This window comes from Homo sapiens, chromosome 1, assembly GCF_000001405.40.
Source record: "Homo sapiens chromosome 1, GRCh38.p14 Primary Assembly".
NCBI lineage: Eukaryota > Metazoa > Chordata > Mammalia > Primates > Hominidae > Homo > Homo sapiens.
This window is the reverse complement of record NC_000001.11, coordinates 93605165-93633146: the sequence shown is the minus strand read 5'-3', so window position 1 is coordinate 93633146 and position 27982 is coordinate 93605165. Positions and strand designations below refer to the sequence as shown.

General features: G+C 46.0%; 1 protein-coding gene across 32 annotated transcripts in view, besides 5 other annotated features; it reads left to right on the top strand.

The window, feature by feature from the left end:
• The window catches only part of BCAR3 (BCAR3 adaptor protein, NSP family member), a 286411-nt gene that overhangs the window by 215005 nt on the left and 43424 nt on the right, over positions 1-27982 (top strand). For 3 of the 32 annotated variants that reach the window (NM_001412074.1, NM_001261410.2, NM_001412075.1), the window contains exon 1: positions 19050-19300. The exons of the other annotated variants lie outside the window; for them this stretch is intronic. In NM_001412074.1, the coding sequence (NP_001399003.1) occupies positions 19217-19300 (84 nt within the window). In that variant the 5' untranslated portion in view covers positions 19050-19216. Of the gene's footprint in view, positions 1-19049; positions 19301-27982 lie in introns of those variants that run through there. 32 annotated transcript variants of the gene reach the window in all.
• Positions 15081-15733: an enhancer, noted in NCBI's record as "NANOG-H3K27ac-H3K4me1 hESC enhancer chr1:94082971-94083623 (GRCh37/hg19 assembly coordinates)". NCBI's record gives its function as "activates a minimal SCP1, AML or CMV promoter by ChIP-STARR-seq in naive H9 embryonic stem cells {active_cell/tissue: H9 hESC(naive)}" and the evidence as "EXISTENCE:reporter gene assay evidence [ECO:0000049][PMID:30033119]".
• Positions 17041-17693: an enhancer, noted in NCBI's record as "NANOG-H3K27ac-H3K4me1 hESC enhancer chr1:94081011-94081663 (GRCh37/hg19 assembly coordinates)". NCBI's record gives its function as "activates a minimal SCP1, AML or CMV promoter by ChIP-STARR-seq in naive H9 embryonic stem cells {active_cell/tissue: H9 hESC(naive)}" and the evidence as "EXISTENCE:reporter gene assay evidence [ECO:0000049][PMID:30033119]".
• Positions 18347-18999: an enhancer, noted in NCBI's record as "H3K27ac-H3K4me1 hESC enhancer chr1:94079705-94080357 (GRCh37/hg19 assembly coordinates)". NCBI's record gives its function as "activates a minimal SCP1, AML or CMV promoter by ChIP-STARR-seq in naive H9 embryonic stem cells {active_cell/tissue: H9 hESC(naive)}" and the evidence as "EXISTENCE:reporter gene assay evidence [ECO:0000049][PMID:30033119]".
• Positions 19000-19653: an enhancer, noted in NCBI's record as "H3K27ac-H3K4me1 hESC enhancer chr1:94079051-94079704 (GRCh37/hg19 assembly coordinates)". NCBI's record gives its function as "activates a minimal SCP1, AML or CMV promoter by ChIP-STARR-seq in primed H9 embryonic stem cells {active_cell/tissue: H9 hESC(primed)}" and the evidence as "EXISTENCE:reporter gene assay evidence [ECO:0000049][PMID:30033119]".
• Positions 22888-23451: an enhancer, noted in NCBI's record as "H3K4me1 hESC enhancer chr1:94075253-94075816 (GRCh37/hg19 assembly coordinates)". NCBI's record gives its function as "activates a minimal SCP1, AML or CMV promoter by ChIP-STARR-seq in primed H9 embryonic stem cells {active_cell/tissue: H9 hESC(primed)}" and the evidence as "EXISTENCE:reporter gene assay evidence [ECO:0000049][PMID:30033119]".

The window sequence follows — 27982 nt, the reverse complement described above, 5'->3', positions numbered from 1 at the left end:
CATTTGTGGATATCTTTAGACCAAGGGGTCAGCAAACTATAGCCTAAGACCAAATCTAGCCCACCACCTATTTTTATATGACCACTAAGCTAAAAGTGGATTTTATATTTTAATATGGCTTTTTTTTTATGTGGAGTTTCGCTCTTGTTGCCCAGGCTGGAGTGCAACCATGCAATCTCGGCTCACTGCAACCTCTGCCTCCCAGGTTCAAGCAATTCTCCTGCCTCAGCCTCCCAAGTAGCTGGGATTATAGGCACCCGCCACCACGCCTGGCTAATTTTTTATATTTTTATTAGAGACGGGGTTTCATCATGTTGGTCAGGCTGGTCTTGAACTCCTGACCTCAGGTGATCCACTGCCTCGGCCTCCTGAAGTGCTAAAATGGCTTCTTAAAAATCAAAAGAAGAGTGGCAAAATTACATAAAGTTCCAGTTTTTATGTGCATCCATAGTTTTATTGGAACACAGCAATGCCCATTCATTTATGTATTGTCTGTGGCTGCTTTTCCTATAATGGTGGGATTGAGTACAGATTCTACTCCACTTACGATGGGGCTACATCCCAATAAACCCATCATCAATTGAAAATATCATAAGTTGAAAATGCATTTAATACACCTAATCTAGAGAATATTATAGCTTAGCCTACTGAATATTATAGTTTACCCCAGCATCACCTAAGAGTATCATAGTGCATGTTGCTAGGCCAGAAAAGATCACATTTCAAAATTTGAAGTACAGTTTCTACTGAATATATATCACTTCAGCACCGTCGTAAAGTTGAAAATCAGTGGAACCATTGTTAAGTTAGGGCCTCTGTAGTTGTGACACTATGGCCTCAAAAGCCTAACAGAACCTTTTACAGAGTTTTCTGACCCTTGCTCTAGGCTGTTTGCACCTTTGCTGTTTCTGTTTTGCCTTCCCAATAATGCATAACAGGCTTTCAACAAAAGTGAGTCCTTGGGCAAATTTTATGATCTTGCACAATCACAAGGATAGTGCTTTTGTCACACTGTGCAGGATTTGGACGCATCTCTGCATCTTATGAGGTGTACCTGTCAGCTCTGAGCAGCATCTCTCTGCTGCCCTGGTCGGTTCTGGCATCTTTAGCCCAGATGGATGAACAGGTGTGTGGGGGCAGCATGGGTACTTGAACCCTGACTGCTCCTGCCTGGGGCTTGCGTGGATAACTCCTCAGGCCAGACACTGCTTTGTCCATGCAGCCTGAGATGGGTTTTCTTGTGCCACAAGTCAGAGAGAAGGGACTTCTCACTGGGCCTCCTGAACTTGATGGTTTGAGATAAGGTCAAACCCTGGAGCTGCCCTCTGGAGGTGCTGAAAGGAACATGGTCTGGCCAGTGAGAGGAATAAGACCAGATTTACATTCTGTGTGAATTTGTATTCTGTGCTGCAGGCATCAGCCTTGAAGCTGAGGCACCATCCTCCCTAACTCGAGGAAGGATTCTTCTGAGATCCCGAACTGTAGGGATGACTGAGAGACTCAAAAACTAACAGGCAGGCAAGAATTGAAACTGTGGCTTCTGACGGGACTCAGCTCCATATTGGACTTCGAATCTGGTGTGGCCTGTCCACCTCTAACCTCATCTCCTGCCACCCCAATAGTCACTGTCCTCTGCCACCCTGGCTTTCCCTAGTGTCTCTGGGGCTTTGCCTTCCCATTGGCCTGGAAGGTTCTGAGGCAGAATAGCTGAGAGGTTTGGAGTGAGTGCTAGGACACTGCTGTGGGTTGAATTGTGTCCCCCAAAAGCGATATGTTGAAGTCTTAACCCCCAGTAACTGTGAATGGTGACCTTATTGGGAAATAGGGTCATTGCAGATATAATCAAATTAAGATGAGGTCATATTTGACAAGGATGGGCCCTAATCCACTGACTGGTGTCCTTATAAGAAGAAGATTTGGACCAGACACAGGTGTAGAGGGAGAAGGCCATGTGAGGACAGATAGAGACTGGGGGATGAGTCTGCAAGCCGAGGAGTGCTAGCAACCACCAGAGGTGAGGAAGAGGCAAGGCAGGCTCCTCCCTGCAACCTTTGGAGCCATTGTGGCCCTCCGGATACTTTATATAGGATTTTTAGCCTCCAGAGCTGTGAGACAATAGAAACATTTCTATTTTAAAGTAGCCAAGTTTGTGGTAATTGGTCTTGGCAGTCCTGGAAACTAATACAAATCCAGAGCCCGGTTTTAGCCGTTTCTTGGTTGTATGACCTTGGGCAAGTTACTGAAGTTCTCTGGAGCTCAATTTCCTTAACAGTAAATGGGAAGATCGGGGATTAAACAGTGAATACATGTGAAGTTCTTAGTTCTTAGCACAGTGCCCCACATGTACTTAGCACTCAGTAAATACCAGCTATATGGCTGGTTCATTTGACACATTTCACTGCCTCAGAACAGCCTTCCCTGACATCCGTACTAAAAGCAGTCCCCAAGTCACTATCTCATTACTCTGTATATTATCCTCATTTGTCCCAAATTTTATTTATTTTATTTTTTTTGAAACAAGGTCTGGCTTTGTCACCCAGGCTGGAGTGCAGTGGCGCAATCTCAGCTCACTGTAATTTCTGCCTCCCAGGCTCAAGCCATCCTCCCACTTCAGCCTCATGAGTAGCTGGGTCTACAGGCATGCACCATCACACCTGGCTGATTTTTGTATTTTTTTTTTTTTTTAGAGACCTGGTTTCACCATCATGTTGGCCAGGCTGGTCTCAAACTTGTGAGCTCAAGTGATTCGCCTGCCTTGGCCTCCCAAAGTGCTGAGATTACAGGTTTGAGCCACCACACCCGGCCTTATTTGTTTACTTTTAAAAATAAGACTTCTCACTAGCATGTGAGTCCTGAGGACAAAGACCCTTCTTTTGTTTAGTGAGTGAGCACCCACACCAGATGCACAAGGGCGTTTATTTTAATTTTTAATTTTTGTGAGTACAGAGTAGGTGTATATGAGATATTTTGATACAGGCATACAATGTGTAATAATCACATCAGGGTAAATGGGGCATCCATCACCATTTATCCTTTGAGTTACAAACAATCCAATTGTACTCTTCAGTTATTTTAAAATGTACACACACTGGGCACTTAAATTTAGGGAAGGGGGAATGAGGTTGTTCTAAAAATTTTATATTTTGCAAAGCAGGTAATGCTGATGTCTCTAAAATTTTTCCAGAAATCCTTCGGTGTTTTTATTGCAAAACAGCAAAGAGGTTCCCGCACCTAACCTCAGTCTACCTTCTCTTGCCCACCTGGTACAGGATAAAAACTGTGGGGTTGCTGTTGTCACCTTAAATACTCACATATTTGGGCAGAGATATACACTGTTTTTAAAAGTGTAGTTCTGGCAACTTCTATGACTTAGACCTATCTACTCTTTGGGAGATCTTGTTAACTATAGGGAGTCAGTAACTTCAACACCAAAACGAGAGGCCTGGATTGCTAGCTTTAGAATCATTTGCTGTTAAGCTCTGCCCTCTAGTGCTCATCAGTGTCACAACAGTTCAGCATTTGGCTACAATTCGGTTTCTAAATATTCTAAGAGCTTTTAATATTAAATGTAATAGCATGTCAGGACTTGTATTCAACTTCAGAAAGAAGAGCTGTGTTTACAATACATGAAAATGCAGATTTAAATTGTCAAGGAATTTTATTATTAGAATTAATTGTCAATGTTCTTGAATGAAGAGCTCTAAAATGCTATGATACTGTATGTAGATTTTGAGATAGGAGGTTTGCATTTGGCCCAAAGTGTTACCTCCGGTAACCAAGAAGTTTCCTGGGAACAACTTGTATTTGAATTGTGATTTGGTATCTGAAAAAACATCTCGGCTTGGCAGGAAGGATGCTGGTATTGGGTAAGGCAGAAGACTCCATGCCTGGGAGACAGCGTGTGCCCAGGCTGACTGGAGCAGGAGAGAACAGTGGGAGGAGCCTTGGGAGAAGCAGTAGGTGCTCCATGTTGCTTGAATGGGAAAAGAGATTCCGAGAAGAAGATCACGTTAAGAAATGAGTTTGGGAGGAATTTTATTTATTGCCAAACTGTCTAACTACATATAACTTTGCAACTTGCTTTTTTCATTGGACATCATTCCATATTAAACGTATGGGCCTCCCTCCTTCTTTCGAATGGGTACCCAGTATTCCATTGTATGAAATACAGTTATAGTTAACTAGTTGCCTACTGACATTTGGGTTTTGCTAATGTTCTGTTAGAAACAATTTTGTGGTTAGTACATAGTCATTTAGTAAGTATTTGTTGAGTCTCTTCCCTGTGCTGGTCACTGTTCCAGGGGCTGAGGATACAGCAGTGAACAAAACAATATCCCTGCCCCTGTGGAGCTTTTACTCTGGGGGTGGAGGACTGGAAAGACAATAAGAAAGACAGTCAAGTCAATCCTGTTAGCTGACGATGAGTGCTTAGCAGAAAAGATGCATCAGGGAAAGCAGCTATGAAAGTTGGAGTAAGGGGACATTAAATTTTAGATAGGGTGACCAGGGAAGGGCCTCACCAAGAAGGTGACTTTTGAGTGGAAATACAAGTCAACTGTAATGTCTAAGGGGAAGAAGAAGGGCAAGGCTTTGAAGCCAGGGTCCGCCTCTTCCATGGAGGAACGAGGAGGCCAGAGGCTGGAGCTGGTGAAAGCAGCTGGTGTTAGAGTGGCAGAAGGTGATGTGCGAGGGATTGTGTGTCAGAGTAAAGACTTCAATTTTTTCTGGAATGAGATGGGAGGCATCTCAGGTTCACTTTGGCTTCTGTGTTGCTGCTAGACTGCAGGGGACAGGGGCAGAAGCAGGGAGACCAGTGAGGAGGCTACTGTGATTGTCCAGATGAGAGATGATGGTAGTTTGGACCTGTGAGAGCAGGGGAGGTGGTAAATAAGGGGGTTCTAGGAATGTAACGTGAAGGCAGAGCCATCAGCACTTCCTGATGGATTGGACATGAGGTGGGAGAAGAGAGGAGCCATGCTTGACACTGGTAGGATGGTGCTGTTGTCAGTGGAGGTGGCTTGGTGTGCGTTAGTGTAAGAATTTTCAGAAGATAAAAATCTAGGAGTAGAATGATTCAGTGTCACATAATGGGTCAAAATAAAACTTCTTGGCAACCGAAAGTTTTTTTTATTTGTCGTTTCTTACATTTTTCTCAGTTTCTAATTTTTTTCTAATAGTGTTTTTATGATAGTTACTTATAAAAATAAAAACACCCCTGTAATTATATCCCTTAGTCTACTCCATAGGTAAGATACTGAAAACTTATGGCTCAATCAAAATTATGTAAAGCAAGTAACTTAAATATTAGAGCAGAAGTTCTTAAATTCATTTGTCTCAAGACTTTTTAAATTATTGAGGACCCTAAAAAGTTTTTGTTATGTGACTTCTAGCTATTGATACTCATCATGTTAGAAATTAAAATGGAATATTTTAAAATGTTTATTTAACTTATTTTTACTTGATGAGCATTTCATGTAATTCATTTAAAAATAAGAATAAACCCATTATATACCAGTGAATGTACATTTGTGGTAAGAATGACATTGTTTTACATATTTGCACATCTCTTTAGTGTCTGATAGAACACAACTTGATTCTTATATTTGCTTCGGTGTTCACTCTGTTGTTTTGTGTTACTTTGGTTGAAGTCTCAAATAATGTGGCCCTGCACAGGTATGCAGTTCAGAAAGGGAGGAGTATTTTAATAGCCTCTTCAGATCATTATAGTTGTTGGTCTTTGATACTAGAGTTCAACAAGTTGTAGTTCCTTAAAAGTTAACTGCAATGTGGACTCTGAAATCCTGTCAATGAACTTGTTTTATTTCCTTAAAATTCAATTTGAATGGATCTCTCTTGCAATTTGAATGGATCTTTTACCCATGCATGAGTTTATATCATCATGCATTGGCCATTTGAAAAATATTGGTTTACGAGTTATGCAGATCTTATAAATGTTACATATTTCACTATGTAATATCAGAACTCACATTCATTAATATGACCACCGATCTCATCAGAAAAATCATTAAAGTATTGGAAAGCTGTCAAACTCATGTGGTGAATACAAGTTTTCCAAAATTCTAATTTTCACTTGAAACCTGGAATTTTATCATTGGCAACAAACACTGTCTGTTGTTTTCCTTGAAGTAACAGGCTCACTTTGTTCGTTTTTCAGAAAATGGCTGCCAAATAAATACCCGAGTCTGAATAACCAAGTTTGTCAGACATTCTTTGAAGTAAAAATTGTGCTCTATGAAAAAGCAGCTAGTTGAGCCCACAATTCAATTGCACAGTTGCTTTTCCTTCACACAAACTCTGTGCTTGGAAACACAGCAGAATTGTTTTCTGTGCATGTCCTGTTGCATTGTATAGAATACTAAAGAGACATGTACTCGAGGGCCCATATTTAATAAAGTGAGTAATTCTCACTGCTTCATCAAAGACTTCTAGGTGGAACTGGCTATTTTTCTTCAATTCTTTGAGCCAATGGGAGTCAAGAGTGCAATGGCCCCTGGTAGAGTTTGGTGCCTCTGCCTTGCTTTGTGCTGAGGCACCAGGAATTAACCCATCATAGCTTTTGCACCACCAGTATAAATGTCAACCCAGTGAAACAGGCAAAAAATGTCTCTGTATTATTATGAAAATAAGTTTTGACCTCTCAGACCCCCAGAAGACCCCCCAGCCTGCAGATCAGCCTGTGGAACACACTTTGAGCACCACTGTACCAGAGGGTCTTTTGCTACTTAAGAGACTAAAAGCTGCAAAAACACTTAAAACACAAATAATCCCCTCTTGTTTATCTAAATCCATATTTATTTCTCTAGCAAAGTTTACTTTTAAGCTCAGCTTGCCCAACAGTTGCATTTACATTTAAAGAGACTTGTTTTTAATGTAGGAAAGACATTAAATTTTCATTTAAAAGTAAGGAAAAAATTGAGAGTCAATCCTTGAAGTAAGGGTTCTCAATTGTGGGCCTGTTCCTTGCAGTGGAGTGGATTGTGACACCTCTGGAAATGCTAACTCTATGTAACATAACCAAGTCATGATATACTGTAAAGATCTGGTTGCTCATCATATACTATAAAGTGCTAGGCCAGAAGCAATTGTAACTCTCCTCTCATTGCTTTATATTAAAACTCTGAAAACCCCAAGCTTGGTGAGGCCAAGGCTGGGTTATGGCAAGGTGCTCTGCCTGAGTATGCAAGTGTAGTCGAGGGAGAAATTTGTTGCAGGGATCCATTTACTTGGGACAGGCTGGAAGTGCGCATTCTCCTGATCCTTAAGCTTTTATTAATTGCTGCAGCCTTGGCTCCTTCTATGCTCCCAGTGTGGATTTGCTGGCTGAGCTCCATCCATCCTTTATGTGAATGAAGATAAGGATGTGTCAGACCCTGGGAATGAGAACATGCTGTTTGGCCCTTCAAGGCAATTTCCTTTCGAGTCCCAGCCCTCTCCAGATGGCATCTAATTGTTTCTTGAATGACCTCAGTGTCCAGGCTGCAGGAACCTGGTCTGAGAAGCCATTTCACATATTTATTAGCCTGTGGATGAGAACTTACTATATAAAGCCCCCATTCACATTCTCAAAAGAGCTTTTTGTACAGAAGAAATAAGGAAACTGATGGACTGTTTCCTGTGACCACCAGTCTTCAGCCGGATTCTTATTTTTACCAGGCCCAGGTGGGTGTATTTTGAAGGGGTCTGTGTGGTCCAGCTGAATCCATCCTGGTTCAGTGCCCTCCTGTCTGTCTCCTCATGGTCTCTACATGAAAGCCTTGACAGAATAGAGTCAAGTCCCCTTACCTCCTGGTTTCAGGATTACTTGAACAGAGTACAGGTAGTGTGAGTTGGGAATTACTGCATTCTGGAAGCCTCTCCCAGTTTGGAATCCCAGCTAGTTCAAAGTTTGAGAGAGTAAAATGACTCTTTTATTTTTGAGATGGAGTCTTGCTCTGTCACCCAGGCTGGAGTGCAGTGGTGCAATCTTGGCTCATTGCAAGCTCTGCCTCCTGGGTTCACGCCATTCTCCTGCCTCAGCCTCCCGAGTAGCTGGGACTACAGGCCCCCGCCACCATGCCTGGCTAATTTTTTTGTATTTTTAGTAGAGGTGGGGTTTCACCATGTTAGTGAGGATGGTCTTGATCTCCTGACCTCGTGATCCGCCCTCCTCGGCCTCCCAAAGTGCTGGGATTACAGGCATGAGCCACCGCGCCTGGCCGTAAAATGACTCTTAGGGCCAAAGTGGGAAGCAGCCGTAATTCAGCCAGAGGCTGGCAAGGCTGGCTTACCCGGTGAGGAGCATGACTTCTGTGTGGCCTGTCATCCCTCACGCCTCTGCAGTTCTGAACTATTTTTGGAGAGACAGGGAAGGGCCCCTACCTTCTTGCAAATACCATGAACAAGAGCCACGTCTCTAGAAATATGCATGCACACTTACTGCACATCTTAGTTCCAGGTGTTTGTGGACCCCAGGTTGAGAATCCCTGAGCTATCTCCAAATGTTCAGTGGGCCCCTATCATGTTCAGGCATTCCAATGATGACAATAAGACATGGGTCATGAGGCCAACAGACAAGGGCACCAGTCATTTTAATGAGTGCTTCAGTAGCTGAACCCTGGAGGACAGGGTTGGAGCTAGGGCTTCTTAAGGGGAGAAGGAAACCCCTACGGGCCCACACAGACTGAGAGCAGGGGCTCCCAAACTTCCAGGCCATGTCCACCTAAGGACTGTCTAAGGAGCACATTTGGGAAGATTTGAATGTGATTTGGAGATGATGTAAACGTCCTGTCCTTTGACCTGGAAAGAAGTCATGAGGGTTGCCCTCGCAGGTGACTGTACCGGGAAAAGCTCACCTGGCCTCAATAAGGGGATGTCTCAGCCAGTACCTCTAAATTGGGTCCTGTGGCCTTCCACATAGCAGAAAAGCCTTTTGGAAACATCCTCCAGGAGCTGAGGATGGTGCTGATGCCACATAAGCAGGGCTGAGAATGCAGTTTGTTTGTGCTTTCCCCTGGCTGGGAGGTGCTGGGTGTGGGAGCAGAACTCACCCCTACACCAGTGGCACAGTACATTCCAACAACATGAATCCCTCTCCCTCTTCCTAGAGGCAAATTCGTGTATTGTTATCCTTGAAAACTCAAGGCAACTCAATTATTTCCATGGAAGTCCCTGGAATAGACTGCAAAACACCATTAATTTCCATTCATTGCTGACACATGAGTGTACAACCCTATTATTAATGGGTGTATAATATGCATGTTTTCATGTAACATCAGTTCATGTTGGCTCCTTGTAGCATTTCTCAGATACAGAGATCACATTTTATACACATAATCTCCAACAGAGCCAGACACAGTATGTTACATCTCCATCTCAAGTTTTAATCTTACACTGATAAGGTGAGCCTGTAAACCCAAATTGATGGTGTGAGCTAGGAAACTTACCTCTGGGAAGGGCAGGGGTGGAGTGGCCTGGGTTGATGACTACTTCTGGGAAGGAAAACATTTTTAGGACCTTAGTCTCTTGCATCTGCCTCTCTCAGCACTTTGACCACATTCTCTTCCATCAGCTTCTTTATGCAGTGAGGGCCTGGCTGTGGGCTGCTCTAGGCTTATATTCTTAAGGCTTGTGGTCCAAGGGGAAAAGGGGATGTCTCTCTCAGCCCTAGTTTGAAAAGTCTCAGGGAAGGACTCTGTTTGGTCTCATGTCATTCACCTGCTTACTCTTGGACCATTCAGTGTTCAGTATTCTGATTGGCTCACACATCCATTAAAAGGATGAATACACATGCTACTCAGTAAAGCTTTTAAATATAATAGCCACCACCTGCTATCTATACCATTCCCCCCCTTACATTTTTAGGATCAGAAGTATATTCTGCTATATTTCTATTATCTCTATTCAGGATACATATATAAAATGTTGAGACATGAATGCTAAGTTTTGCGAAAAAAAAGAAAATCTTTTCAAGTCCTATTCCCATCTTTCCCTAGTTTATCTCCCTCCTGGTTTATGTACTGGATACCCATTGCCTCCAAGTTTGCCAGATTTGCTACTGTTACAGAGAAGTTATGGGCAGGGGGTGGGGATGTCCAGAGGGGCTGTGGATCCCCAGCCCATCTATAGCTTGTCCTTGGATGGATTCCCACATCTTATCACAAGTGACCCAACCGGGAGTCCTGGTGTTCCTGGATAGTTACCCAGATGGGTTTCTGCTGCTCTCCCTAGTAATTCTCCCTTCCTCCACCCAGCCCTTCCACCCATTTGGATATACACTGCAAGGCGTACCCAAATCTTTGAGCCACTGGCAAAGGAATTTATTGTCCCCACCTTGGCACCAGGAAGGGCAAATATTGACCTTCTGGATGTCACTCCTGCAGACAGCATTATGCTTGGCAGTTGACTACGTTAGGAAGTGAAGAAACTGGCCGGCAGTCAATGAGGTCCTTCCATGCACAGAACCCTCTGAATTGGCCTCTTCCTATAGAGGAAGGGGTACTGTTTGTGTTTCCATGTGACAAAAGCGGTCCCTTAGCCCTTCTTGTGCAGCAAGCCTTTGTTGCCTCCTGGTTCTTCTCAGATTCTGATGTCAGCATCCATCTCTCCCAGCCCTGCACTTTCCTTTCAGCTGTGAGCGGAATAGGACCTCTGATGGACTATTGCAGATGAGATCTGCTGCCTGTGTTGCCAAGAGTATCTGTCCCTCTGTTGGAGGGAGGTCTGCCTTTCAGATTTGCATAAGATAAAGCACTTCTGGTGACCAGGTGTTCTCCGTGCTTCCCTCATCACACCAGATAGAGCCAGCCATTCTGATTCGTTGTTGTTTTAATCATTAACTTTAAGAGCTGTTTGATCCCACATGTGAAATGGAGATAATAATACTCCTCTCCTAGTGTGACTATGAAATAGGACACCATGGTAAAAGTTCTCTGTAGAAGTGCTGGCTCCTGGCCTGGCATGGTGGCTCACGCCTGTAATCCCAGCACTTTGGGAGGCCTAGGAGGGTGAGTCACAAGGTCAGGAATTCAAGGCCAGCCTGGCCAATATGATGAAACTGTGTCTCTACTAAAAATACAAAAATTAGCCCATCTCTACTAAAAATACAAAAATTAGCCAGGCATGGTGGCGGGTGCCTGTAGTCCCAGCTACTCGGGAGGCTGAGGCAGGAGAATCACTTGAACCCGGGAGGCGGAGGTTGCAGTGAGCTGAGATTGCGCCACTGCCCTCCAGCCTGGGCGACAGAGTGAGACTCCATCTCAAAACAAAAACAAAAACAAAAACAAAACCAATGTGGCTTCTGGGGACCTTTCACATGGGGTGAGTGAGGTGAAACGATATCTGTGACGGCTGCAGGCTTCTTCAAGGCATCTCTGAAGTCTGTGGTGAGGAGGGGTTGTTGAGAGTCAAACTTGTAGCTCTTCCAATTTTCTGTCCTAAGTATTACATGCAAACAAGGTCCATCCACCCACTGAGTGAAGGGGTTCCCGTGCTGGTTAAAGCTGCTCCAGCGGCCATAAGAAACTGCAATACTACTTGCCTCAAGGCTATCTATCCCCTCCTCTTACCAGCCACATCCCTGCTACAACCCGGGTGTGTGCAAGGTGGCCAGCCAGGGTGCTTTATCAGTCCGTACTCACTTCTGTGACCACCAAGGTATTCTCACCTCCCTTCCTACATGCCACTGAAAGTCTTTCTGGATCAGAAGGAATTTTTTGGTCACGTGACTCTTTGAAATTGGGTAAAAGTCATAACCCCTCTCCTCAATGAACACAACAATTTGTATACAGTTTCTAGTGGCCCATGGAAGCCCCAGTCCACCCCTAGGTTCAGAACTCCTCATCTGGACTGATTCTCACAGCTACTTTGGCAGGATACAGAATTATCCAGTACGTCACTTAGATGGTAATGCCCATGATCAGCTTATGACCATGAAAAAGAGATATTTTCCCACTGAAATATTTTGTTTGCATGGCTAGAATTTGCTTGACAACAGAAAAGCGATTGATAAGACCATTTTCTCTCCAGGCTGGAATGGGTGGGGTTACTCCTGACTCCACCTCTCACCTGGTACTGACCCCGCCCTCCGCCCCTGGGTTCCTGCCTTCCTAGGCGGGTGATCCCTTGCAGGCAGGTTCATCCACTCAGCCACTTGGCAGCCTTTCTAGGTGGAGATAGGGATGTGTGGCTTTAGAAGAATGCACTGTAACTCTGGCAGATTCCTGCCATTAGGGACTTGAGAGAAGGAGATCTAGGCAGAAGGCAGTATCTGGGAGGACACAGAGAGAAAGTCTAGAGAGGGCAGAGGGGTCACAACATCTGAGGAGCTATACCAGACACGGTTGTAGTTCTAGAATTGGTTGGTATCAGACAACCCAGTAATACAGGGCGGGGAAATATGAAGGAGTCGGCATGTGAGAGGTGGTTCTCTGGGGATGCTAAACACATGTGGAAGATCTGTTCCCAGGGCTGAATTGCAGGGCCAGGGCAGGAGGAGGTGGGGCTGGAGGAGTGAGGATCCTGTAGGGCATCCAATCAGGACTGAGGCTGAAGTCCAATTCTGCAACTAGCTTGGTCCCAAGGCAATGGGAAAGGAGGGGTACCACCCAGGCCCCATAGGCAGAGGGGGCCCACAGGATCCCCAGTCAGATTGGCTCAGACAAGGGTGGTACATGGAGAGCTGGTAGTTGTGGATGAACCCAGGAGTCCCCTGGGTTAGGATCATGTGAGCAGATGCTGTGGATACACCTGCTGCCTGTTAAACAACTCCTAACATGACAGAGACTCTGGAGTAGACAATCCTGAGACATCTGGGCAAGTGTGATTAAAACCATATGTGGTATTTGAATAAGCAGTTTTAGAATTTAATGAGTAACATATATTTTAAGGCTAAAAGCTTTTAGAAGTCTCCTTATTATACCAGCTCCTAAGTATACCAGCTGGGAGCCAGCCAGTGGTCAGTGGCTCATGGCATGGGTGGGTGTCCACTCTCTTCTCGTGGCTACAGGCGTGGTTCCTGTAGCCCAGCGTGTGGGTGGGCGTGTGCCCTGCGAGTACAGTGGGGAAGATGGGGTTTGTTGTCCCTTCTTTCGAAGGGGGAAGGAAGCTCATGTTTGTAGAGTGCCTACTATGTGTTGGGTGCCAGGCCCTCCATGTGATATCTCACTTGATGCTTACAATAACTTGGTAAGTCTGGGGAGGAAACTAAGGCTCAGAGAAGTTAATTAATTCCCCAAAGTCACCCAGCTAGCTAGTGGTGAAGACCAGAACCCATCCTGGCTCGCTCTCTAGCCTCCTACCTCCAGGGTGTGTTACAGAGCCATTTTGAAGACAAGCAGGTGTCTGTCTCACAGCTCAGTTTTGGAAGATGCCATTTTGCAGAGGTGCTTGTGAGACAGAGAACTGGCGCAGTGGAGGTGGGAGAGAGGCAGCTGTTCCTGGCTGGTAAGGCCTCCAGAGGGCCTCGCAGATGCCCGTCTGCCCATTTCTGCAGCACTCTGCATGGGAGGGACCTCTGAAGGGCTTTGTGGTCGTTGCCTATTAGTTGCTTACATAGCTCATGCCTACCAAAAGTGGATGGAAAGGGAAAGAGAAAAGTGTACAGCAAAGAAAACCCAGGAGCTGAGATGGCAGGAGAAGTAAGTGATTGCTCCAGGTGTAATTGCTTGCATAGTAAGTGTAGAAGAAAAGGAATCTTGGGAAGTAGGTGGTGAATCATCTTGGATGGATAAGACTCCAAGGGGTATATGGATGGGCTTCTAGTGGATACAAGAATCCCCTGAAGCAGAGGTGTCCAAGAGGGAGAATGGGTTCTTAGTTTCTGTTTCTGGTTGGGCCAGTAAAGCCCCTTCCTCATCCCTCTTTTCCACTTATCACTAGAGACAGAAACTAAAAACCATGGCTTTGGCTGGGCACAGTGGCTCACGCCTGTAATCCCAGCACTTTGGGAGGCCGAGGTGGGCGGATCACGAGGTCAGGAGATCGAGCCCATCCTGGCCAACATGGTGAAACCAAGTGTCTACTAAAATACAAAAAAAAAAAAAAAAAAAATTGGCGTGGTGGCATGTGCCTGTAGTCCCAGCTACTCGGGAGGCTGAGGCAGGAGAATTGCTCGAACCTGGGAGGCAGAGGTTGCAGTGAGCCAAGATCGCGCCACTGCACTCCAGCCTGGCGACAGAGCGAGATTCCGTCTCAGATTAAAAAAAAAAAAACAAAAAAAAAAAAAACCCACGGCTTCAGGCTGGTAAATGCCTAAAACAGAGCAAAACGGAACAACATAGTAAAGCGGATTGGACAAGTTCTAATTGTAAAGCATTGCAAGTATGTGTCTTTTGCTCTAGAAGGAGGGCCCATGACTTTCATAGAATCTCAGAGAAGGCCAAGATCATCAGATAGTGAGTCTGCCATTTGAGAGCTTGGGATTATGTCCTGTATGTATTCTTTCTTTTTCTTTTCTTTCTTTTTGCCTGAACGCTAAAAACAGAAAATTGAGCTTGTGTAATATAAGATTTCTGGGGTGACACCAGGAACTAGGTGGTAGTGGTAGAGAGGTGAATGGGGCAGAATTGTGTGTGATAGCGTAAGAAAGCAAAACAGGGCACAGTGCCTAATTTTGCTTCGCATTACTCAGTTATACAATTTTAATAGCTAGTTAGAGAAACAGAAATTGGTAAGGGAAGACAGAAGGCCCAGCAGAGAGAAATCTGCTGTGAAGACTGTACTTTAGTCTCTTTGTTTATGTGCTAGGCAGATCAATATTGCTTCCGGATAGAGACCATTTAACAGCCATACTCTTTCATCCCCTTGAGGAATCTGGGGAAACTGTTAGACCAGGATATGTACAGCACGCACTCCTAAATGTACTGTCTGTGTTCACCAGGGCAGGCGAACGTCTTGTCCACAGCAATACACAAAGGGGGCCAGAGGGCGCAGGCATTGTTGCCTGCCCTCCTCCCACTAAGTCTTGTTTGCATTCCCTTTCGGAGCAAGAAATCAATCAGATTTGCATATAGGGAAATGTGTAGAACTGTCTTTGGCAGCTTCTGTAGCTACTGAGCCTGGCTGGAAGAGGAGCTGACCTTTTGCACAAAGTCCTTTCCTCCTGTCCTCCCTGGTTTCCCAGCTCTCCTCCCTCAGGCCCTCTGGCTCTTTGTGGGAAGGTGTGTGAGCTGCTGGCTTATTTGTTCAGAATCAGGCAGAGATAGGGTGGGTGCTGGGGAAGTCTTGAGAAGCAAGGCTGCGGATCAACTTGCCCCTTTATCTGCCTAGGGCTTCCCAGGCACCTGCCACACTGCTCTCCACAGAGCCGAGTCTGCAGAGGCTGTCCTCACCGTGACGCCAGGCTGGTGCTGAGTGGGGCAAGGTCCAGGCTAATCATTGCCTACTTCCCAGGGCACCAGGAAAGATGGAGCTGGTTGCATCAGCCTCATGCCCTGGCTCATTAAAGCTGTCTTTGTTCAGCAAGAGCCAGATCACCTGGGTTTAGGGGAAGCAAAAAGCCAGAAAGCATTGATCTTTAGGGGAGAGGGAGTAGGATAAAGGGTCTTAGTAGTTGCCACAAGATGTTTTGAGCTGTTCTGATCACGATTACTGGTGTTCACCCCTGACCGATGTCCCTTTGGGCAGGAACAAGCCAGGCCTTGAAGCCTGGGGTGAGTCACTGTCCTCTAGCCATGGGCAGAGTCACTGTCCATGGGGCCGCTTGACAAAGCCCAAGAGTGCCTCAGTGTAAGGCTTGATGCCCTGATTCTGGGCTGCTTTGGGGAGGGTTTGGGGCTATGGGCAGTATTACGTTCCAGATGTGCTGAAACAGTGAAAAGCAGGTACCTAGCAGGCATATCTTTCTCCTGCCATCTCCCTCCATGCCCTGTTGGAGAGAGGGCCTACCTCACTGGGAGCCTGATCTTCTAGCAGGGACCGTGGTGCTTTGGGAAAAGGACTCTGCACTCACTCTCTTGGCCCTTCTCAGCTGAGGGGCTGCTGCCAACAGGAAGCATGTGTCTGCTGAATATGGCTGGCAGGCAGCTCCTGTTTCCATGGTTACTAAATAGGGCAGGTTAGTATTAGGGCTGCCCAAGGAAAAACTGGCATTGAGGGCAGTGCTTATGCAGGGGTCTTCCTCCGGCCTGCCTTAACCCCCTTTTTGAATTAGAGGGTGGGCAACATTTGGCCTGAGGTAATAGAGGTTTCCTTCAAGGACCCACCTGGCTTCCCAGCCATGGCTTTAATCACAAGTGTTTCCCTCGGTGCAAAGGAGTGAGCCTTCCAGGCAGCCAGAGAAGGGCGGTGGATGGGAGTTCACCCTGTAGGACCTTTTCCAGAGCTCAGAGCTGCCTGACTGGGCCCCTCCCTTCCTCAGTCCCTGGGAGTTCCTTAGAAATGCCCTCCCCTATCCCGAAAGGGGCATGGTGTTTAGAAAGCCCTGTATCCAAATTTGATGAGTCCCAAATCCCACACACCAGATCATCAGAAAGTGGCCCACTGCCCCAGGTCACAGCCCTTTCACGGGGCTGTGTGAGTAACAGGTTTAATTATAAGACATTAAAAAATCTATTTGTGTTTCTATGTGATCAGATACCAGATTCTGCAGTCTGAGGTTGGAGTCCCTAGCCCTTTGTTCTCTGCTGAGTGGTACACAGGTCTGGTCCTCTATTTCTTTGTAACTAGAATAATCATTGTGGGGAGAATGGGAGGAATTGATCAGCGTAAATAGGCAGCGTTTAAAAGCTTAACAAGTCAGTGAAGGGCACTTTGAGAATGTATGCAATTATCATCTTTAGTTACAAAAACAACACGTTATTTTAGTCTCTCTCCTTGACCGTTTCAGGAGAAAATTGATTAAAACCTTTGAGTGCTGCTTCAGAAATTATTTTTGGTGTGAAATAAAAATAAAAGATGCTTAGGAAACAGTTACCTAATAAGATTAGTCATTATTTAATCCCGGTGGAACAAATTCTTTGGGTATTTTGGAGATATTCTTAGAATAAACAGAGAAAACCTCAGGTAACAAGAGCTGTGATACCACAGTGACCTAAGTGTCTTTGGTTTTGTTTTTACCCTGGCTGTGGAGCACTTTATTCGTAATTCTATGTGATTTACATGTCTGAGTTATTTGCATATTACTTTCAGGAATGCATTTCATTCACGATTTCTGGGGGAAGGGTGTCTGGGCTTCGGAGTCTCTTGGCTGACTAATCTCACGAATTTCTGTGCAGGATTTCAGTCACTGCCCCCCTCCCTTTTCTCAGGCCTGGGATGGTGCCTGTCTAGCCTCTTGGGGAGGTTTTTAGCTTGAAGGAATCGTTATTTGCTCTCCAAGGAGAATACCAGGTGAAAATGGCCCATTCTGTGGTGGCTAATGGCCTGATTGATGAGTCATGCTCACAGAACTGCTGGGGCCTGGGCCTGGCTGCTCACACGGACTTACCCTTTGAACTCCATCTAACGGAAATGAGGGCAAGCCAGAAAACGCTTCCTCACAGGTGCGGTACTGGACCTTCGAGGACAGTGGGGACCCACTGACCAGACAGTCTTCAAGGGCTCTTCCAGCTCAGAAAACCCTTCTGAGTTCTGCCACCTTGGTGCTTCCTTCTAGGTTCTCTGGTGGACTTTCTGTGGCCTGGGAGCCGTCAAGACTGCAGACCAGACCTCCAGAGTCAGAGAGGAGAATGAGTGAGGGAGGAAAGCAGAAAGGAAGTCATCGCCCACACTCGCTGTGGCAATAGCGCCTCACTTAGCAGCTCCATCCCCATGTTGACACGTTGATGAGGCCGGGCCCTTGCCCTTGCGTGGGTGTGAGACTGTGGCTCTCCATACCTGCTCACTGGGCCCAGAGCAATTTCCTATTTTTGTGGGCAGACTTGACCTAGTCCAAAGGCCAAGGTCTCCCGAGGATTTGACGCTAATCCCGTTGGATATTTCTCATACCTCCCTCATGCCTCATCTGGTATTGTTCCTTTCTGGACTGAATAGATCTTGTTTCTTCCTCATTACAAGTTTCTGCCTGTGTGAAGTTTTAGAAAGCTTCAGGACACATTCCATATTTGAGGCCGAAGCCACAAAAAGTTAATATTTGGAGCGGTAGGATAGGAGAGGAAGAGCTACAGGCAGAAATCTGGATTTGATTAAAAAAAAAAAAAAAAAAAAAGAACTCGTTGAGCATCCGCTATAACTGGAATGAAGGGAAAAGCAGTTAGTTTTCCCTAAAGGTGTTATGTGGCTCTTGGTAGGGGTAGAGGCCTCAGGTCGCAGGGAATCCAGGAGGGCCTTGCTTGGCTGCGTTGGATGCGAGGTTTGTGTGCAGGATCTAGGTTACGCAAAGTGGGTAATCAGAGTGGCGATGAGTAATTAAAGTGAAGGATTTAAAGGAAGGTATAGGACAAACAGTTGAGTCAGAAGTGGGTACACAGTCCCCATCCTCCCAACAGGTTGCACAGCCAGGTGGGAGGGCATAGGGCGCTCAGGGTGTTTGCTGACAGACTTGCTAATTAAACACCAAAAGGCAATATTGCTTTGCCAGTAGTGATGGCTGTGCCAACGTTATCAGCTGCAAACTGGCTGCCAGGAGCATCTTAATTAAAAATAAACAGCTCTGGAGGTGGGCTTGGGAGAGTGAGGACAGGGATCCTGCCTGGGTTACTTAGTACATCTAGTATTTCTCCTAGGGAAAGTCACTTTTAGGCCACCTCCTTTCCTCAAAGGAGCCTCTGTTCATAACAAGGTGGTGTGAATGTACAACTTACCCTGCTTCCTTAAACCTCTGGGTGCTGGAGTGACAAGCAGACAGAACCACTAGGAGCAGGTCGCATGGTACAGTTCAGCCCCAGAAGGAAATTCTGGGTCGGGGGAGAGGGGCTGCTAATGATTTCTGCCTGGTCTCTAAATTGAGGGGACAGCTAAAGCCCAAGGCCTCTTCTAAGAGGGGTTAGAATTTCATCAGAAAGCAAGTCTGGTCACATGAGAATTTCTGGCACTGTGTGCATGGCAGGCTGGACACCAGCCTGCGAGAATTGAGCGAGTGGATCGTATTGGCTTCAGCAGAGGGGAAAAGTCCCAGACTAGCCTGGGAGAAGGAGCCGACTCACTCCCCCGGCTGCCGACTTCCCTGACTTCTGGGCAGAAACAGCACAGCTGCTGTGGTGGGCTAGGGCTTTAACGTCCGAAGCCCCCTTTCTTTTAACCCTAAAGAAAGTGTGTGGTCCCCGGGACTGAAGACCGAAAGATGCCTAAGGAATGCAGTGCTTTCCACGCCCTCTCAGCAGCTCTGTGCTGCTTCTATCACCGCAAGTCTTTCATTGGAGTCAAGGTAGGTTTGGTTTGGAAATAAAGTACATCTGTCAATCTTTTGGGGGACCCTGAAAGCATGAGTTTCCTAAAGGGCAATAGATAAAAGTTTGCAGCTTGCTGATTGTGAAAACAGAGGTGCTTTCTTTGACTGATGGGTCTTCAAGAGCCCCTAGTGGTGTACCTCCCCTGGAAGCAGAACCCAGTGGCACAGAACAGGGCTCCTTGTCTGTTTTGGGCTGAAGCTGTTTTTCAGGACACTTTCAGTTCTCTGTAGGCTGAAATTTTATACTAAAGTAGCTCAATAGGACAGAGCTATTTTTCTTCTTTCTCTCTTTGTCTCTCTTCCTTCATTTCTAACGAACACAAGGTAGCTGAGCCCTTTTCTCTGTTTATCCTGCTGGTCCATTACTTATCAATAATGTACATAATGTACAGAAGCCACACAATATTTCCTTTCAAATTGCAGCCAGGTTTCAAAACATCTCAGGGTTCAGAACTGTTGTTGTCTTTACTGCTCACATTTTAACATTTGTTATAAGACACCGGTGCCAAGAGCTTTGTATAATATGTCAATACACTATTTTGATGAAAATATTCAGAGAACCTCCTTTGGCTAATTCAAGATGAGGCCTGTGTTCTATTTGCCTGCCTGTGACGCACTAGGAATTAAGATTAATATAGGCTTTCGTGGATCTTGGGGTTTGTCTGCCTTGGAAAAAGCCTGTCGGCCCCAGCCTGACTGCGGACCTCGTTTATTCCTGGGAAATTGGACTCTGAAAGCTCTCAAGGAATCCTTCCCACCCTGAAGCAGAGCTCCCTCTCCTGTGGGACTGGCTCATTCATTACCTTTGAAAAGGCTGCAGCAGGGTTATGATGTTCTGCTTCTTTCTTCTCAATACGCTTTTAAAAAAATCAGGAAAACTACCTGTTAGTGGGAGAAAACCTTTTTGTTTAAAAATATACAGAGTGGGAAAAGGGTGAGTTTCCATTGATTTTGCTCCCTGGTAGGAGTGTTCATTTTTGTCCCTTTGTCAAGAAATTTGACAGAGGATGAGTAATTAATCATTGGTTAGAAGCATTCCCTTCCTGACTTGAGCCCCTTTCTGTCCTGGAGCCCAGTGAAGTGATGCGAGATCCATGTGGTTTCTGGCCTAAATATGGATCGTTCAAGTGTGGGGCAGATGAAGTCATGCCATTAACAGTATTTTAAAGCTTCCAAGATAGACTAGGAGGTCCCAAAGGGTATGGTGCACTTCGGGGATTGGCAGTGGGTTTCACTCTAATAGAAGTCCTTCCACAAGCCAACTTCTGCTAATTCAGTGAAGTGCAACTCAGCATTGGGTGTATGAGGGAGTCAGCCTATAAATATCTGGGTCTGAGGGATGAGTTTCTGTTTGGGTACCTGTTGGTCTGCAGTTACGGCCCCAAGGCTACATAATATATAGAAAAGGCCACTTAATATATGGGGTAGTCGGGTCCAGCTGTCCTTCAGCTTGTGCACTCTCTATCTCTCCACCGTGGCCACTCTTGGTGGTTGACTGTGGTAGAAACACCCTTCTTTCCGCCTGGACTTCTACTCTATTCCCAGTTTGTCGAAGTCTTCATAGCACAGAGAGAAGGCCTGAGCTGCTCACTCACTGGAAACTGTAGCCCTCGGTCCCAACTTAGGGTTTACCAACTGCACCCTCAAGATGAGTCTCCCTGTTTTGTTTTGCTTAGCTAGTTACTTGGGAAAGAAATCTGCTTGTACTTAATCCCCCATCCTGCCAGTGGTGCCCCAGTTGATAATGCCGAGTCGCTTTATTGACTCCCACTTTAATTAGGGGTTCCAGATCTTGCTGCTCATAATTAGTTTCCGTTGCAATTAGAGTTTCAAAATTAAATTGGGATTGATTGCCTGATAGCAAAGAGGAAATAAAGCTCCAATTCTTGACCATGTATACTGCTTCTCTTGGCATGAATTTCTCATACCAAAAATAACACTGCGGTAGCCATGGTAACTTTCCATTTGGTCTAATCCATATCATCTCTGGAGAAAGTACGATGGTATTAATAGTGTTTGCTGTATGGGAACAAAACTAAAAATATAGAGGGTCCCTCCTTACATAGGAGAATGATTATACAGGTGTTTTTAGAGAGTAAGATCTTATTTGCAGCGGTCTTACAGAATTTAGGATGTATTTAGAGGCCTCATACGGACTTGTGTATAAAGACCTTGGAAAGGAATTAAATGGGAGGCCGAAAATGGAGAGAAGGATCAGGGATGTGCTGGCCCTCATAGAGTTGGGGCCAAATACAAGATGTTCCAGCCATGTTGAGGGTCATGACTTTAATATCCCGAAGGGGTTCACAGTAGACAGCCGTTACATAAAAGACTACTGGATCTTTTTTCTGGGGGAAAAAAGACGAAAGTGTTTTATTTAAGCCCAGTGGAAAGAAACTTGTAATGGAGATATTCCAGATCATAACATTAACAGACATATTCAAGTTCTAAAGTCCATGCGTGTTGAATGTAGAATGGGTGTTGAATGTAAAGTCCATGCATAAGCCCTCTGTTAGGTGGGGAGGGATTTGTGGGAGGTGTGGGGCAATAAATGAGATTTGAGGCATGGTTCCTGCCTTCAAAGACTTACCACAAGGATATTATTAGGTCATAATATCACTTCATTACATTTGCAAAAGACTTTCAAATGTATGAGTTCTTTCACATCTTGTCTCATTGGAGTCTCAAAACAAGCTCTCTATGCTATGAAGACTTCAACAACTTTGTCTCACTGGAGTCTGAAAATAAGCTCTGTGAGGTGAGCAGGGCAATAATTTACCCTTTCCGCAGAGGACACACCAAGGCTCAGAGAAACAGCCCGCCCAGAATCATTTCGTGGGGAACTAGGAATAGAAAGCAGATTTTCTGGGCTGAAGCCTAGTGCTCTTTCTTTTTTTTTTTTGAGACGTAGTTGCCCAGGCTGGAGTGCAATGGCGTGATCTCGGCTCACTACAACCTCCGCCTTCTCCTGTCTCAGCCTCCTGAGTAGCTGGGATTACAGGCACCCACCACCACACCTGGCTAATTTTTGGTATTTTTAGTAGAGACAGGGTTTCACCATGTTGGCCGTGCTGATCTTGAACTCATGACCTCAGGTGATCTGCCCACCTCGGCCTCCCAAAGTGCTGGGATTACAGGTGTGAGCCACCATGCCTGGCTGCTAGCGTTCTTTCTACTGTACTATATTAAGACAATTGACGCCTAAAATAAGATGATATTGTGTATGTTAATACTTTATTTTGCAGTTCAGTTGGGAGAGAACAGTGTGAGCCTTAGTTTTTAGGAAAGCTTCAGGGAGGATGTGGGACTGTTTTTGTTTTTGATGTTGTTGTTTGTTTGTTTTTAAGAACAGGTAACCCCTTTTAAATTTTTCTCCTTTTTTTAATAACTGGGGATTTGGATGGACAAAGAAAAGAATGGCATAGGGACGGCATTTCAGCCTGGGGGAGCAGCAGACCCAGTAGCTCAGAGATAGAAAAGCCACTGGCATTTGCAGGAGTGCAGAAGGCCAGGCCTGCTCAGAGCAGAAGGTTCACTGGGAAGGTTAGTGTGTGACATGGTCAGAGAAGTCACAGAGGATCTAGGAATAATCCCAGCAGCCAGGCCTCCTGTACCAGGGGTTAATAAGTATTTGAGGCACATTTCCCCATTGGCTTTCATCCCATTGCATCCTTAGTTCAGCTCAGCAGTCACCGGTTGTGGTACCTCGGATGTGTCGGTGCTGGGGACCCAGTGGGAGTTGTTGGTCCAGTGGGGATCTCTGCTGTAATACCATGCCTGGTGGGCATTCTGCAGACATTTAACTCTGGTTGAAGGAAACGATCGGTTATCACTGATTTGGTGTTGCTCTCTTTAGAGGGTGCTGTGGCTCCCTGGAGGCACATGCCTGGCATAGATGGGGCAGGAGTGGCGAGGATCAGGGATGGCCTCCTGCAGGGAGGCAGAGCCTTTGCTGAGTCTGGTGAATTAGTCGAAGTTATCCAGAGAAGGAGGAGAATTGGCCTTCTTCGTGGAGAGAGGAGCACGCACAAAGTGTAGAGACGTGGAGTACCCCGGTGTGGGCAGGCAGGGAGGCATCAGCCTGGAAGGGGAGCACAGGGAGTGGCCGCTGGCAGGCCCGCCCCCAGGTCCCTGGTGAGCTAGAGGAGGAACTTGGTAAAAAGCACAATGGGTCACATTTCTGGGGCTGGCACTGGAAACAAACCCCTACCTCTTCTGGCCCCTTGTGTCTCTGACTGTTAGTAACTTATTTATTTAGGTATTTTTGTGGACAGGGGACAAAGGAGCTGAAACTTGTCACTTTGTCAATGTTTGCGCCTGAGGAAGGTCAGGGGTGCCTGTGTCAGAGGAACCTAAGAGACGGGAATTACCTTGCAAGGGCGGAAAAGCCACCTTTCTGAAAGAGCGCAGATAGAGAGGTTGGGGTGTGGTGCCTGTGGATAGATGGAATCAGTAAGTCTCAGCTAACCAGGCCTTAAGTCTAGTGGCCATGGTCTTGTCAATGAGCAGCCACAGAAGGCAGGGATGTTAGACATGTGCTTTCCTAGACTTATATTCGACTGTCTTTGCAGCCAGGAAGTGCTATGTAGTATTGTTTCTTTTTTGTTTTCCTTTAAAGTCATTTCCCCTACCCTGAAAAAAATATCTGGAGCCTCTTGGAATCCATATTACAGCCTGAGGAGTCACATCTGCCCATCCTAGAGTGCCAGGCCCCTGGAACTTGGTTTCATGTGAAACTGTCTTTCTGTGGCGGTGCGTGTGTGTGGTGCAGCAGAGGCCCTGCTCATCTTCCCTGTGGCTGGTCATTTGGTCTGTCTGTTACGGTGACAGCTTGGGGACTGGTGACACATCCCAGCATTGACGATGGCCTGAGTTGCCTTTGTCAGTGGGGCAGATGCACCATCAGCACGAGCTGCGCAAGGTGGAAGAAGCCTTGCAGGAAATGTCTTTCCAAGTAACTCAGCCCCTCCTCGTGGCAGCTGCTAGTTGCTCACTTATCTCTCCAGCCCTCCAAAAAGAAAGGACAGTGTAGCTTTTTGAAAGAGGCTTAAATGCATTCCATTGGCATCTGGTTGGGTGGGATCTGGTTTCAATATCAGGGGAAAGACATGCTTGACAGAGCCTGTGTCCCAGGACCCGGTTCCCTAGCAGACCCTGGAGCTGGGATCCTGGCCAAGAACTTGTTTTTGTTGGAGAGACCTAAGTGGGAAGCAGAGACGGGATTGGGATCTTGGGAAAATTCTGTTAGTGGATTCAGCACCTCCAGGACTGCAGAGGGATGGGCCATGCTAAACACTGGGGAGGACGCTGGAGGCTTGGTGTGCTCCGACCACAAAGGTCTCCCCGCACAGCCTGCGCGAGAGGTCAGCAGTGCACGGGGGACCCAGGCCTGTTGCTGGGTTTAAAGATGTTGTCAGTGATAGCTTGGGGGCCTTTTAGCTGATGGGTATCTTGGGTATCCCCAGGAACAGCAGAGGAGACTCAGCCTGTCCTGGTTGGGAAGGAAAGGAGAGCCTCAGGAGGTTGGACACCATCTCTGGCCTCAGCTGTATTTCCAGTGTGTGTCCACAGTGCCAGGAGCTACTGTTGAAATCTGGCTCTGGCCATGAGAATCTTATGGCCTATTTTTCTGTCTAGCTCATGAAAGTGCTATGTTTCATGTCTTTTAGTTCTTGTGGAGAAGAACTCTCCCCAGTGTCTACTCTAGATATGTGTGTGCTTTTACAAAAATAGTTATGTAGAAAGGACTGATGAGTAAAATCTGGATTCTCAGTAAGATGAGATTTGAGGAACTATCCATCCAGCCTCTGACTCAGAAGCCATTGATTCATCGCCCTTCCCCAGCCTACCCCTAGCATGTGCACTGAGGGCCTACTAGGAGGGGGAAGACAGAGGTGAACATTCCGCCCGAAGGAGCTCTGCTGTGTCTGGTGGGCGGATGGAGATACAAGCAGCTTACGCTGTGCTTTGTGGTGGGTGCAAAGGCAGGAAGGATGCACAGCCTATTGTGAGATCCAGGGAGAGGTCTTTAACCCAGCCCTGGATCAGGGGACTTCCTGAAGGAGATAACACTGTAGGAGCCATAGGGACAAAAGGCACAGGAGAGGGAAAGAGCTTCCTATACGGGAGCTTGAGGCTGAAGCTGAGGAGTGGAAGGAGATGAGCCCATAGAGGTGGTTGGGGAACAGAGCATGCTGGGCCTTTTTTTTTTTAAGGGCAGTGGGGACCCAGCAAGTGGCTTGGATGCGGAGTGAGTGAGAGCTTGGGCGTTGGACTCTATGTGTGGGATGAGTTTGAGGAGCAGCAGCAGCATCCCCCTAACTCATGCCTGTGTCCTCCCTGGGCCCCTGAAGCCTCCCATCTGTCCTGCTTGTCCTAGTTCAGCTCACCCTAATTTTCCTCCCTCCACCTTCTCTTCAGGCCTTGTCCTTCTAACTCTCATAACGAGATCGTGTTTCCTCTTAGCTTAGAAACATGCTGTGGTCTTTCCCATGTTAAAAACCCTCCTCGTTTCCATGCTCATTCCTGGTCCCCATCTTCCTCCACCCCGAAGCTGGTTAACAGTCTTTTTAAAATTATTGATCTGGGGGTGCATGCACAGGTTTGTACATGGATATATTGCATAGCGGTGGGATTTGAGCTTCCAATGTACTCACCACCCAAATAATGAACATTGTACCAATGGGTAATTTGTCAGCCCCTCACTCCCTATCCCTCCGCCCCTCTTTTGGAGTCCCCAGTGTCTATTATGTCCCTCTGTATATCATACATGCATAAACTCTCACTTGTAAGTTAACACAGTCTTTACTCCCTCCCTTTCCATTGGCCACTCAGCCCCTTTTATGCCACCAGTGACCTGCACATTGCCAAGTGCAGCGGATGCTGTCCAATTCTGATATGATTGGAACTCTCTGCAGCACTTGACAATGTTGACCATTTCTTCCTGAAATCAGCTTTCTCAACCTCCAGGACACTGCATTCTGTTTGTTCTCCTGTGTCCTTCCTGTCCAGTCCTACTGTCTTCTTGGGTTTCTCTTTCTAGTCTGCCTCTGAAAAGCCTCCCCCAGCCCTCTTCTCATGCTGTATCCCATCTGTTTGGTGAAAGTTGGGATAGAATACCCCTCTATACTGAGGACTCCCAAGCCGTAGTTCTCCAGATAGGCTCTCCAGTCAACCTATGTCCATAGCACCTGGACCCCATGGCCCAGTAAGTGACTCCATCCAGAAGGCCCAGCAGACCTTAGTTCTACATCTTCTTCCACAAACCCACTATGCCCTCGTGCATTTTTATTGGATGTTGGTGGCTCAGTCATCTTTCTGGAATGCCCATGCCCCTTCCTCCTATTCATTTTCCACATGTAATTAATGAGTAGGTCTTCATGATATTACCTTCTAAACACCACTCTCACCTGTCTCTTTCTTTCTGTCCCTACCACCACCCTATTTTCTTGTGAGATGTAAACATTCTTGCTCACTGTTTAGCCCACAGGAATGCTGTATGAACTCATGAGATCTGAGTTGTATTGGGTTGAGTATCTTGTGTCTTTAAGTCCAGTTTCTGGTTCTCTGTTTCTCTGCATGACATGTAGGATGTTTGCTGTTTGCATTTTTTAAAATGCTTGTTAAATGAGATATGTGGGTATCTAGTGCTTTGAGCTCCTCTAGAAGGAATATACCTTTAAAGTGACCTGTGAGTTGTATATTGAAAGTGGTGCAGTTGATGTCTGGCCAAAACCCATCTTGTGATGAATCATTTTGTTTTACTGCAAGCCTGCTGCGTACTTAGCACTGACATGTGATGCGCTTTGTCCCAGAGCAGAGTTCTAAGATGGTAGTTAGTCATGGTACTATTTTGGAGAGAGAGAATTTGAAAGTCATTTGTTCTACACCCCACGCTGGAAGGCTGTCTGAATCTTTGGCTTTTCCTCCATGTGTTTGGCATATCTTGTTTTTCCTTCCAATTACATCTTTGGGTGTCTTTCAACTACGGTGCATTTTGTTCATTCAGTACTCTCCTTTTCCTAATTCATCTCATTCATTCAAGGTGAATTAGGAAATGAGAGTATTTGAATTAAGTTGATTTTGATTTGCTGACATTCTTATTGAAGAGCAAATAGGACATCTGGTTTGATGAATAGCTGTGTTCCAGATCATTCATAATTTGCATTAAGATGTTGAATTAACAAGATTGAATTACCAGTGGTGAGGATTTCTGGCTTGGATCTTCTAGCATTTTGAACTCTGATCAGCCGGTTTTCAAACTCTTTTATTAGGGTCTGCCTTAGCCAGGGCAGTCTTTGTTCTTTTCATTCTTTAAAGATGTTAAGAAAGCACTACTATTACTGAGTGTAATCTTGCTGCTGAACTCAGCGATTAATATTTCACTTGCATTGTTTCTTTTAACCCAAGTGCCAGCCCTGTGAAAGCAAGAGAGATATTATTCAAAGTCGCTCGAGGACATGGTTAAAGGGAGCAAAGTAGTTTAGACAGGGTTTTCACAGTAGGTTGGACTGGTGTTTAGCTTTTATCAAAGCCCTTCATTTCTCTAGTCCAATAATGATTAAGTGCACCCATTGACCTTCGGCCTTCCTCTGAAGTGTGGCACATCCGACTTCTCTCTAGGAGGAATGAGAATACAGGCCTGCCTCTTGGGGTGAT